General features: G+C 35.7%; 1 protein-coding gene across 5 annotated transcripts in view; it reads right to left on the bottom strand.

Moving 5' to 3' along the window:
- The window catches only part of IFRD1 (interferon related developmental regulator 1), a 54,030-nt gene that overhangs the window by 12,391 nt on the left and 28,612 nt on the right, over positions 1 to 13,027 (bottom strand). For 3 of the 5 annotated variants that reach the window (NM_001007245.3, NM_001197080.2, NM_001550.4), the window contains 7 exons: positions 8,946 to 9,050; positions 8,727 to 8,811; positions 7,775 to 7,899; positions 5,795 to 5,952; positions 2,897 to 2,947; positions 2,634 to 2,812; positions 2,435 to 2,543 (listed from right to left, as the gene is read on the bottom strand). In NM_001007245.3, the coding sequence (NP_001007246.1) occupies positions 2,435 to 2,543; positions 2,634 to 2,812; positions 2,897 to 2,947; positions 5,795 to 5,952; positions 7,775 to 7,899; positions 8,727 to 8,811; positions 8,946 to 9,050 (812 nt within the window). Of the gene's footprint in view, positions 1 to 2,434; positions 2,544 to 2,633; positions 2,813 to 2,896; positions 2,948 to 5,794; positions 5,953 to 7,774; positions 7,900 to 8,726; positions 8,812 to 8,945; positions 9,051 to 12,301; positions 12,756 to 13,027 lie in introns of those variants that run through there. The other 2 variants (NM_001197079.2, NR_120333.1) reach the window with 2 other exon arrangements.

Here is a 13,027-nt window from a genome sequence, read left to right as displayed (position 1 = left end):
CTGGGGAATGGAATGGGTGAGACCTGGAAAAGGTCTAACTATATTTTGTTAAATTTTCCCAAGTGAGGATTGCACCAGCAATGGCTCCCAAGATCTTAATTCTGCCCACCAAATAATGTCTCTTATATTAAGTTACTCTACAGTTCCTAAAAGGCCACTAGTAGACTACTGCCAAATGCAATACTCAATTCAACCAACATTCCAAGTAACAGCTAACACTTACACTGTACCTATCATGTGTTCTCAAAAACTCTATGAGGTTGTGACTAATAATTTATCCATTTTAATGATAAGGACACCGAGGCATAGAGAAGTTGCCCAATATTATCCAACTAGTAAGAGAGAAAGAGATCCGAAGGTAGGCAGAACAGCTCCAGAGTCTACTATTATCTAATTGGTTATATGGCAAACATCCATTAACCTAGAACTCTCATAAAGGAGTAATAATTACTAATTTCAACTTTGAACACAGTTTATTATTATTATTTAACCAACTCATTCATTAAAATCCAACCTAAAAGTTAGCTCTTCAAAAGTTTTTTTTCTAAGTCTCTCAGGCAGAATTCATGACATCACTAGATTTCAAAGTTAGTAACATCAGAAAGTCAGTTAGCAAAAAGCCTTGAATAATTCAAAACTCATTTGCTGTATGAACCCTATTTTAAATCTGTCTATGTATTTCACTAACGCCCTGGATTTAATTTTTGAACACCCTATAACTATCCCCCAACCAGCACCCACATATAAAAAGCTTATTTTAAAAAAAAAAAAAAAAAGCAAATAAAAACACTAGGTTCTGTTTTGTAACCCAGTTCATTTTTGTCCTTGGATAAAAATTCAAGTCAAATGAAATATGTCTGGATGAGTTCTCCTGGTTATCCTGTGTAATTTATTAAGTTGGAGAAAAGATACGTGGGGTGTGTGTGTGTGTGTGTGTGTGTGTGTGTGTGTGTGTGTGTATATAAATGTGTATATATATGTATATGTATATACATGTATGTATGTGTCTATATATATGTTTATACAAACTTAAACAAATTCAACATGTATAATTTAAACTGCATTATGACTTCATTTTAAAAATGCATTTCCAAGGAAAAAAAAGAAAAGAAACTGCCATTTCTGGCCAGTAGAGGAATGTAAGATTAAAAATTGGGACATCTGGTTTCCATGCGTTGAGGTTAAGAAGCTATTAACTAGCTCAATAAAATTAAATTGATTGCTAAATTTGAGTCCAATTTCTCACATAAGGAGAATTATTAGCTACTGACAACATTAACTTACTTTCCATTCCTACCTACTATCCCTCAAACAAAAGGAGTGTAGGGGAGTTGGAGAGAGCCACTTTACACATAAAAATTTTAAGACTGTAAACTTCCTTCAATACAGGCCTAGAATGGAATATGAATGACTATACATGGCAGAACTGTATTAATCCTGTTTGGAACCGTTCACTGTTAAATAACTTCTTTAAATGCAAAAAAGTTTCAGAATGAAAATATATTCTTTCTCCTTAAATTAAAAAGCATCTAGTAAGTAATTCAAGGTTGGCAATAATATCTACTATTTAGTTACCCATTTCCCATATATTTGAGTTTTCTTATTGGATCCTTCACAGATTCAGTGTGAAGACAGTCAAACCTGCTCCTCATTTCTAAATATCAGCACAGTATCTGAATCACATATCTTAAGAATACATTCTCCCTTCCAATGGTAAGATTTGAGGCATTCCTTTCTCTTAGCAATCCTTAAAATAGAGATGACAAATTAGGGTTACCAAATGACCCAGTTTGCCCGAGATAAAGGATTTCCTGGAACATAAGATGGTAAGTGCTAAACCAAAAACAGGTACAAAGCAAATTGGGTCGACTGATCAAACTATCACAAACTCAAATCCCTTCGAGAGCCAAGCCATGGTAACTAACATCTGTGAGTGGACAAGTGAATGGGTAACTGCAAAGCACATGTCCCAGTCTTAATGAGCAGTGTTTATTTCCATCTTTGGCTTAGAGAAGTTACTGAACCCATCTCATCCCAAACCTATGCTGACTTAATATTTTATTCATTTGTTTGATATTAATTATGAAGCATCACATGCCTTCATTAGCTTGATGTATTGGGTATCTGAGAAATTCAAGCAGTTTCATAAAGATTATATTAGACAAAACTCTCTCCATGAGGATCCCTAAACTTCAGTTCTATAGATAGCAAAAATTAAGTATAATGAACCACAGTCAAACACTGCTGTACCAACCCCTACTGGTTTCTGCTCTCTAAAGTATTACACCACCACTGCCAAGAAGTAGGGAAATAAATCACTGGGTTCTCAAGCTGGCCATGTTCCAAAGTTATTGCCCAATTCTCAATTGCAAGGTAATGATGGAACAATGGGCCTTGTGACACAAGCTTTTTCCTCTGCCAGTTAGATACTTACACTCTCTATTCCTCTGGCCAATTCAAAGAGAAGTGCCAAAGATTCACCAGCAGCTATTCTCATGTTTACATCATCACAAGAGAGGAGGCTTGGAAGCTTATGGAAATGCCTAAAAAATAGTTAGTCATTACTATGTGAATACAACCAATTATGTCCACTAAATGTTGCTTTTATAAAATATGAAACTAAAAATACATACATCTCAAGCTTTTTCTTCACTTCATTGATTGGGCATATGGTCAGCAGTAGTGTCCATGCAAGAAGAGAGCTGATATGAAGCACTGTATTAGGAGTGCTGCAAATAACAGTAGTGTCTTTCTCTTTGAGATAGGATTTAGTGAAGATATTTTCCAAACATTCCAGAGTTGAGTATAGTTCCTAATGCATAAGAATATGAAGTAAGATAACCATCTTAAATTAGAAATAACTGCAGATAACTAGAATCAAAGGTTTTTTACTTACAGTAATGTCATCTGTGGCAATAAAACAGCAAACACCAAAGCAAGTTGCACACTAAAAAAAAAAATATATATATATAGACATTAATGATTTTATTTCTTATTAATTCTACATCTTCCTGCTTTTATAATTCAACGTGAAAATGTTCTCAGCAGCATAATATATTAGGTCCCAAACATTATACATAAAAGAGGTGAGGAGAGAAAGAATATTGAACTAAGATCAAAGGAAGTGCGTTTCAGCTCAAGCTCTGCTACTAAATTCACAGCATGACTTTAACAAAGTGATTCTGTTCCTCTTCAGTCTTCTTTTATTGATCCATAAAATCAAAAGCATGCAAAAGAATTACATAATTTCTGAAACAATTGCAGCTCCATAATCTATAATTTAAATTATTGAATCATTTTTATGAGTCTATGTCAGTAAAGCATTCTGAAAGGGTGAACTATCCCCTTGTTTCCTTTCTGTATGCTTTACAGGTGCTTACTAGATCATTAAACTTCAACTGTAATTCAAAGATAGAAAGCTTAGACATATGAGCTAAAGAAGCCTACCCTCTATCAAAAAGCCTTTAAAACACATTACAATTCCATTGGTTTTTAAGCTGTTACAACTATATTCTTTTGTTCTTATGAAGACTCTACTATGAAAACTTCTAAAAGAAATCAGCTTCCAAGAAATAAGCACACAGGAGCAGAAATTTCATAAAATGTAAATAATTGTCTTCAAACTTCCCACCTAATTAATTAATTAATCCCATTAACTCAGATTTCACTTATTCTGGATTATGCTGAAAAGAGGCTGGGAATCATATAATTGCCTTTTGTTTGGGGAGGGGAAGGGCTAAACAAAAGTGAGTATAGTATATGATTACAAAGGTAAAGCTTATCGAATAAAACATACTCAGAACACAACACTTACACAAGCCATCTACTTGCAACATAAACAGAAGCCTTCAATTCTCAGAACATTTGTTTTAACAAATTAATCCATATAAAAATAGAATTTGTAATCTGAGATTTTATTATTCTCCATTTCCCCTTTCTCCACATTTTGTCACTAAAATTCCCTCATGTTGTTCTAAGCATTATTAAAGCTTTAAGTCTTTAAAGTCACCATTGGTATCAGGCCCAGGTTTTAGCCAGTCTGTTCCAGTACTATGAGGATATCTGTGATATTAATCTGCTTGGTATCACTATTTTATTGTCATTATATCATCCTAGTAAAAATTGGACACTGTTAAAATCTAAAAGTAGCCTAAGCATTAAAGGAAATTTTCAATCCATAATCCCTACTGCTAAGCAAGCAGCAGAAGCAAGGCTACATCGTTCCTTTTGATGACTCTAAGAAAAACAGCCAATTAAAGAACTAGGACTGGCTGGGTGCGGTGGCTCACACCCATAATCTCAACACTTTTGAGAGACCAAAGCAGGAGGATCACTTGAGCCCAGGAGCTCAAGGCCAGCCTGGGCAATACAGCAAGACCCATCTCTACAAAATATTAAAAGCGAGCCAGACATGGTGGTACATGCCTATAGTCCCAGCTACTCAGGAGGCTGAGGCAGGAGGATAACCTGAGCCCAGGAGGTGGAGGCTGCAGTGAGCCATGATTGTGCTACTGTACTCCAGCCTGGGTAACAGAGTGAGACCTTGTCAAAAAAAAAAAAAAAAAAAAAAACCCTAGGACTGCCTCAATTTAATATGGATTCCATCTGCTAAATGGGGAGGCTAAGGTTTTTTAAAAATTCACAGCAACTTGGAAGTATGGAAAAAAAAGTCTTTAAATGACAAAAAAACTTACATACAATCAAAATTAAGTGACTGCTCCAAAAATCTACCCAGCAGAGTGTTTTCTGTCATTCTAGCATGAAATTATACCAATAGTTCCACATGATTTAAAAGCTGCACATATTCACCCAAAAAGAAGAAAAGAAAAAGTTAAGTAGCAAAAGCTAATTAAATATTTCAGAATTACTAACTACTGGAGGGCACAGAGATTACTATGAAGTTGCCAAACTCCAATTTCTTTGCCTCCAGGGCAAACAGCTAGACTATTCCCAGCCTCCAGGTGGCTGGTAAGCCAAGGAACTAGATGCAAAAGTGATGTGCTCTGGCTGAGTCTGTCACCTAGCTACCCTGGCTGCCATATCGAGAGAACCTAGAGGTGGGCAGAGCTGCAGTGGAGGCCTGGGGTTCCAGCCAATTTACATTGGGTGGTGATGATAAGAAGAAGAAATAAATTTTTACCAAGCTACTTAGACAAAGATTAATGTTACTTACCTTAAGTAACATTATTACTTACCTTAAGTAATACTAACAAGGAAGCTGGATTTGGATAATAAATATTAAAAGTATTAAAATGTTTCAAGCTTAAACTGATTCACTTGTTTAAAAAAACAGCTTAGGATCACATGTTATTTTTCCAAATCCACTAAGACCACCTCAGTGTCTTCTGTTTTCTGTGACACAGTAAAACATCTCCATATGATCACTTGTATCACTTATTACCGCACCAAAAACAAAAAATAAAACCCCCAAAACCCAAAATCTAAAGTCAAGTGTTGCAAGAGGTAAACATCCAACAATTAGAGAATGAAAGCTTTCTCAAACCCCAAAATTAGAAGACTTTCACAAATCAGAATTTCAGTTTCCTATGTCTACCCAAATCCATAAATATAGAATTATCTTTTTTGTTGTTGTTGTTAAAATACAGTGTGTAGCTTTGTCTCCCAGGCTACAGTTCAGTGGCATGATTATAGCTCACCGCTGCCTCAAACTCCTGGACTTACAAGATCCTCTCTCTTGCCTCAGCCTCTTGAGTAGCTGGTACAGTACTATAGGCGCACCACGTCTGGGTGTCATGAATAGACAGATCTATAAATGTAAATATCTTATACTTACAGTTTGCCTAGCCTGCATACTAGCTGACCCATCACAAATGATTTTCTTTAGGATTGGTCCAAGAGTTTTCAAAATCTCTTCACTTTCAATTCCAGGGCCCAGCTGAATACAAAGAACAGATGCTAACGCTGCAGCTGCACGTTGCTCATCACTCTTACCTATAAAAGCAGCCAAGATGCAATCACGATAGTCTTTTCAGTAGACTAACTTACTAAGACAGTTATTTCCCAAATTTGATCAATGACAAAATAGCATTTACCATTTTTGAAACCCCATGCTCCAGGCTTTGATGTAAGTTACAAACTTAGGCTAAAGAGCTCAAACTATAGAAACAGACCTCACTCAAATCCTAGATCCCACTTATTAGCCAAATGATCATCGATTAGTTACTCTTATTCTCTAAATAGAATTCCTCATCTGTAAAATGGAGATTAGTATCTATCTTAAGGGATTATTTTAACAGTTCAACTAAATGTGTTTCAAGCCAATTTCTATCTTCAAACTCCTTAATGTACTCATATAAACAGTGCTCAAATTGCCCTTGAATTAATCTCCTAAGCATTTCGGATGTACACAGTCCATTAGGTAAACCTTCAGGGTTTCCCTACCAACATTTTTAAAAATAAATACGGGATTAAAAATAACTCTTTAAAACCGTAAAAAATACATTTATTAACTTTATTTATTTTTTTTTTTTTTTGAGACAGGGTCTCACTCTGTCGCCCAAGCTGGAATGCAGTGGTACAAAAAATACATTTATATAAAGGTACATATAAATTAACTCTTGAGAACTGTATACACCACAAGTGTGGGGCAAATACTGAGCTTAAATTATTACCTGATAAATTAAAAATGTAAAAAATACGCAAACTAAAATGGAATTTTTAAAGGTCATCTAGTCCAACAACCATTATAGCATATAGTTTGAATGTAAAACACCTTTAATAGCGCCATTGTGTTATCTTTAAAAAGTTGGGTCTGCTATCAACTATACCAATAACAAGATATATCAGCTTAGACCCACCTCAGTTTTCCTAGGCCTTTCTTTATTCTATTCAATGGAAGAGTGAATTTGATCAAAGGTTTCACTTACAACAAAATTTTTACTCTCAGGTAAAATGAGAAAAATAAGGATATAAAGCTTATTAGTTCATTCAATTTTTTAAAAGTGCATTTCTACATTTTTGGTGCTATAATATTTTGCTAATAAAATAATGATAGTGGAGGATAATTATTTTCATAATGTTCTTACTTGGCTGAATAAGTTGGCAGACACCAAATCTCGTTTTGTTTTGTTTGTTATAATAGAAACCAAGTATCGCTTTGTTGCCCAGGTGGTCTCCAACTCCTGGCTTCCAGCAATCCTCCCACCTCGGTCTCCCAAAGTGCCACAATTACAGATGTGAACCACCATGCCGAGTCACAAGTCTTTTTAAATTTGGTGGTTCCTAAATCTAGTAAGCCTACTAACACTGGACTTTAAGGTCTGATAAAATTATCTTTAAGATTTCTCTTTGGTCTTAAAAGTTCTATCACTGTAACAATTTGAATTCCAGAATTTCTATTACAAAGTTCTAGAATTCAAGTATTCCAAGGGATATCCTGAAAATGATGTAATTTACAGGTACAATCAATGTTTTATATAAGTGCAAGGGAAAATGAGCTAGATGTCTGACACACACTTTCAAGCTTTTCTGGTATAACAAGAGAATGACCATCACCTCTTCTGATACAAAAAAGGTTGATGACAATCTACCCTAATCCTTCTTAGTTTCAAGCTATTTTTTTTTGGTTTACGTAATACAAAAACAAAGTTCTAACAAGTCTCATTTTGAGCCATAACAAGATGGTGCACTCCTTGACTATTAGAAAATTTTAAGAGTGGGCCAGTGTTCCAGTGCTATTACTAAATGTTACTGAAAAGAAGATAACACACTCCTTATTAGTTGTACGTCTGTGACTCAAAAATAAGGGCATTACCTTTTTTCAGGCAGCGTTCAATGCTATCAGTTAAAGTCATTCTCCTTTCCAGAATAAATTCATACAGCATTTTTGAAGCCAGTGCATTTTTAATACCTTCAAGAGCTGCTTGCCTTGTCTTCGCACTATTTAACACCCAATGTAAGAGAAAGAAGATCCAGTTGGAGTATACAATAAATAACTTTTTAAAATCTTATTTCCTTCTAAACTTTACCTATGTATAGATTTTTTAAATCTAATTCTCATCAAGCTCTAACCATTTGTCAATAATATAATTTAATTTCCATCTATGACTCACCTTGTTACACAAAACACTTAAGGCTGCTTTATATCATGGCATTTTTCTTAGTTTGATAGCCACAACTTTAAATGCTTACATAATATTTTATCGTTTCAATGTACAAGTATAGTTTTAATGTATTGTTTTCCTATATTACATATTTAAGTAAATTTACACTTTTTTTAAAACTATAAAAGTCTAGAATTGCATCTTCAGGGCTTTTTAATTCTATTAAGGTCAGTTCTGAAGCTATAGTGAAAAGAAACAATCTAGCTTTGACATTTTTTCATATCATAACATTAGTGGACAAGCAGCTTAAAGCAAGGTTTCGTTATCATTTCTAGTTGAAGATTAACTTTTAATTCAACAAATTCATTTCTATTATAATCAAATACAGCTATGTATGTGCTATTATGCTAGAATAATGACTAATCTGACTCAATCTAAATTCTAATGGCATGTTACTACCCACATTAAAGTCCAACGGAATAAGAAACATCCAAAGTAAACAAATTAACCTTTAGGAAAAATATATTGCTATTATCTGAGAGCTGCACAAATTATATACATGTAAGGTAACTGATTAGAATCACACAGAATAATCATTTCTCTTAGCTTTTGACTAAGATCAAGCATAGACTCACACAGAATGGAGTTTCCAGTATTGCCTACCTCTTATCCAGGGTTAGGTCAATTAATCCCTTCAACTTGTACTCTAGGTCTTCTTGAGTTCCTTCCTCATCAAGGACTTCTGGTCCTAAGAAATAATATAAAACAGCCATCGTAATTTAAAAGAAAAAAAACAGGGAATAATAGTATACTTTAGCTACAAGAATTCCTCCACCTGAAACATTTTATCTAAAGTTGCAAATTTAAATTTAAAACTCATACCATCTTCAGCAAAACTGGAAGGATCGCTATAACCACTGCAATGGCTCATTGTTTCAATTGATGCATCTTCATCACTAAAAGGCTGAACATTTCGATGCTGGCCACCTATTAGGTAAAAGAGGAAAGAGGTAAATTATTTTATTGCCATATACCTAAATATTTAACTTTGGAATTTTTAAGTTTACTTAAAGAGAAATCCAGTAATAAAACCACAGACTCATTTTATAAAAAGAGATTTTATCACAAGTGAACATACTTAAATATTCTTAAACTAAGTTCACCTAATTACGTATTTCAAAGGACCAATGATACATCAACTATACGCATCAGTCCTCTAACAAGAGGCATTCTTTTTTTTGTTTTGTTTTGTTTTTTTTGTTTTTTTGAGACAGAGCCTCCCTGTCGCCCTGGCTGCAGTGCAGTGGCACAATCTTGGCTCACTGTAACCTCCACCTCCTGGGTTCGAGCAATTCTCCTGCCTCGGCCTCCTGAGTAGCTGGGATTACAGGCGCACACCACCACGCCTGACAAATTTTTTGTGTATTTTTAGTAGAGACAGGGTTTCACCATGTTGGTCAGGCTGGTCTCGAACTCCTGACCTCGTGATCCACCCACTTCGGCCTCCCAAAGTGCTGAGATTACAGGTGTGAGCCACTGAGCCCAGCCGACGCACTCATTTTTTTATGACACAAAAACTGATACAAAGGTGGGCGCGGTGGCTCCCGCCTGTAATCCTAGCACTTTGGGAGGCTGAGGCGGACAGATCACTTGAGGTCAGGAATTTGAGACCTGCCTGGCCAACATGGTGAAACCCCGTCTCTACTAATACAAAAATTAGCCCGGTGTAGTGGTGCGTGCCTATAGTCCCAGCTACTCGGGAGGCTGAGGCAGAAGAATCGCTTGAGCCTCGGAGGCAGACGTTGCAGTGAGCCAAGATGGTGCCACTGCACTCCAGCCTGGGCGACAGACCAAGACCTTGTCTCAAAAAAAAAAAAAAAAAAAAAAAAAAACTGATATGAAGATGAAATAATTATTTCTAGACCATGATTTCAAATCATGAAGACAATGAAAACAGATCCAGAAATAGTGTTGTATCATAGATAATCATAAGAATAAGACAAATATATTTTCCAATGAGAATGGCTGGACTTAGCAAACATGAACTGGTGAATGGGTTTTTAGGTTACACATGTCTTATGTTAAGGGGAATTAAGGAGTTAAGGCAGGGTAGTTTTAAAGACAACTTGAAGTGAGAGAAGACAAAAAAGGCTTAAAATAGAAGTTTTGGTATTTGATATAGTATAAAAGCCTATCAGATAAACTACCTTTAAGGGAAAGTTTCTACAATGTGCAAGAGTTTAAAAGTACCAATGCTGGCCGGGTGCGGTGGCTCACACTTATAATCCCAGCACTTTGGGAGGCTGAGGCCGGCAGATCACCTGAGGTCAGGAGTTGGAGACCAGCCTGGCCAACATGGCGAAACCCAGTCTCTACTAAAAATACAAAAATTAGCTGGCCCTGGTGGCAGGCGCTTGTAATCCCAGCTAATTGGGAGGCTGAGGCACAGAATCACTTGAACCCAGGTGGCACAGACTGCAGTGAGCCGAGATAGCACCATTGCACTGCCTGCCTGTGGACAAGAGTAAAATTCTGTCTCAAAAAAAAAAAAGTACCAATGCTGTTACTAAAAAAATAAAATCTTCTTTTTAAAAACTAGAATCTTTCTTTAAACTTCATTAACTTCAGGAATAAATATACAGTCACTTAGGGATTTTGTATTAATAAAAGGACTGCCAAGTCATAAACTACAATTCAGCACTGAGTTAAATTAAGTCCCAAATTCTGCCCCAAAAGTGACCGTGAGTCACCTGATTAACCTCTGAACCTAATTCCCTTTCAGTAAAATCAAAGTTCGTATGTTCAAACGTCACCACCTTAACGGTTTTTTTTTAATGCTCCAAATTTAAGCCTGTTACTGTTGGGCTGGATTTTTTTTTTTAACGGAGTTGTCTTTTTTAAAATCAAAACAGAGAATTTAGCAGATTTTTAAATTAACACAGCAAGCAAGTGGCCTTCAGATTTGCTTGCGTGGTGCCAAAGTAGTAAAGCATAAAGATTAAGCAATGAAGCCAAAATCTCAAAATTTCTTGGAGTGCTTAGGACAGGAATAAACAAAGACCTATGACATCACACTCTATTTCTGGATCTATCTTCCTCGTTTTTATGACTGAAGTAATGGCAACAGATGAGTGTCATCTGATTAATTTTATTAACATTTATTCACAAGTCAATTCACAGTTTTTCTTTTTCATAGCCTATTTCTAAGAGTATTCCTCCTATGCAGCTCTTACTCTGCTCCCTTAACTCATCAGTATTAATGATTTCTAAGATTCGAGGGAAAGAAAAAAAATACACATATATATGTATCAAGAAAAAGAACCCTGTATGAATGCCTGATATTTAGGTCAAACTCACCCACCCACACTGTGATCCTAAGTACCACGAAAGAGATGGCACTCTAGGCACATAAAGTACTTATTTCTAGAGGGCTTACTAACAAGGTTTTGTTCTTTCTTAAAAATATTCTCTTTAAATTAAGTGCTATGACATACCTGTATAAAAGAAGTCAATTTTATTAGCTTCCTAAAACTCTCCACTAACATAAAAAAAATAAAGAGTTTAAATAGAAAACTCATTAAAGTAATAATGACAATTTGGTTACATAGTGGAGACCTCATTTGAATCCCATTTCTTTTAGATGTCATTTAAAAATACTAGTTAGGTAAGTGGCTTGTTAAGTAAGCAAAAGTTTGTGTAATTTTCCATCTCTTCTACTCAACTATTATTTATTCATTGTTTATTAAACAAGTAAAACATTCACATAGGACCAAGTTAAAGTTTTAAAAAGTAAATCTCACCCCCATACCTTTCCCCAGCTCCACTTCTGAGGTAACCACAGTTAACAAGTTCTAGCACACACTTCCAAAGATATTCAAAGCATGTATTGTGTTATAAATTAATCAAAGAATTATTTTCCACTTGTTTACATATGCTAAAATTCAGTGATGAAATGGATCTTTTCTACTAAAATAGTGAAAAGGTAGCAGCAATAAAGCTGATGAAAGGTCACAAATGAGCCCTGAAGCAAAATTTAAAAGGCAATCCCCATACAGCCACCAGAGGCCTGTATAGGTACTATAAGCACAAAGAGGGAAGGAGGCTTGCCCAGAAACTTTAGACGGGATTAAAGGTTTGTGCGTGATCTAGGCCATTACTAACATCATTATAACTTTCAAACTTTAGCTTTCAAACTTTTCCATTTCATCAACAAAAGGGTAATAGAATAAAATAAATACCTTCTAGAAAGAATTCAAATGTTTGATTCAGATGAGGAAAAGCTGAAACACAGTGGTAAGAAATATCCTCAGACCAGGCACCGTCCCAGCATTGTGGGAGGCTTAGGCAGGAAGATCCCTGGGGACGAGGGACTCGTGACCAGCCTGGCCAACATAGACCTTGTCTCCACAAAAAATGTAAAAAATAGCCAGGAATGGTGTCACATGCCTGTAGTCCTAGCTACAGGAGGCTGAGGAGGGAGAGCTGCTTGAGCCCAGGAGTTAAGAGGTTGCAGTGAGCTATGATCACACCACACCGCACTCCAGCCTGGGCGACAGAGCCAGACTCCCTCTTTCCCTTAACAAAAAAAAAAAAAGTATCCTCAATTCACATAGAGCAACCAGAGGCCACAATAAATTACATATTTTACATCTTGATAAAGAATGAATTTCATCAACATGGAGAGCATTCAAAATAAAGAGGCACCTAAAAAATGTAAAAAATTGCTGTTTTAAGAATCCCTCCCTATGGTCAATTATTAAATGTTTAATACATGATCACGAGTTTTTGAGCTTTTTTAAATGCCAGTTTCCAATAACCTTTAACAACATAACCCCATATTTACTTTTCTTGTGAACAAAGGCATATCATTCTGAGTGGCAGCCGTGGCAGAGGGGCAACTGTGTCCAAAAATACCTGATGGCTAATAGTTCCAGTGTGATAACGTCGGAGAATACTCCAATATT

This window comes from Homo sapiens, chromosome 7, assembly GCF_000001405.40.
Source record: "Homo sapiens chromosome 7, GRCh38.p14 Primary Assembly".
Lineage (NCBI taxonomy): Eukaryota > Metazoa > Chordata > Mammalia > Primates > Hominidae > Homo > Homo sapiens.
Note: the sequence above shows the minus strand (reverse complement) of the source record. Positions and strands in the feature narration are given on the sequence as shown.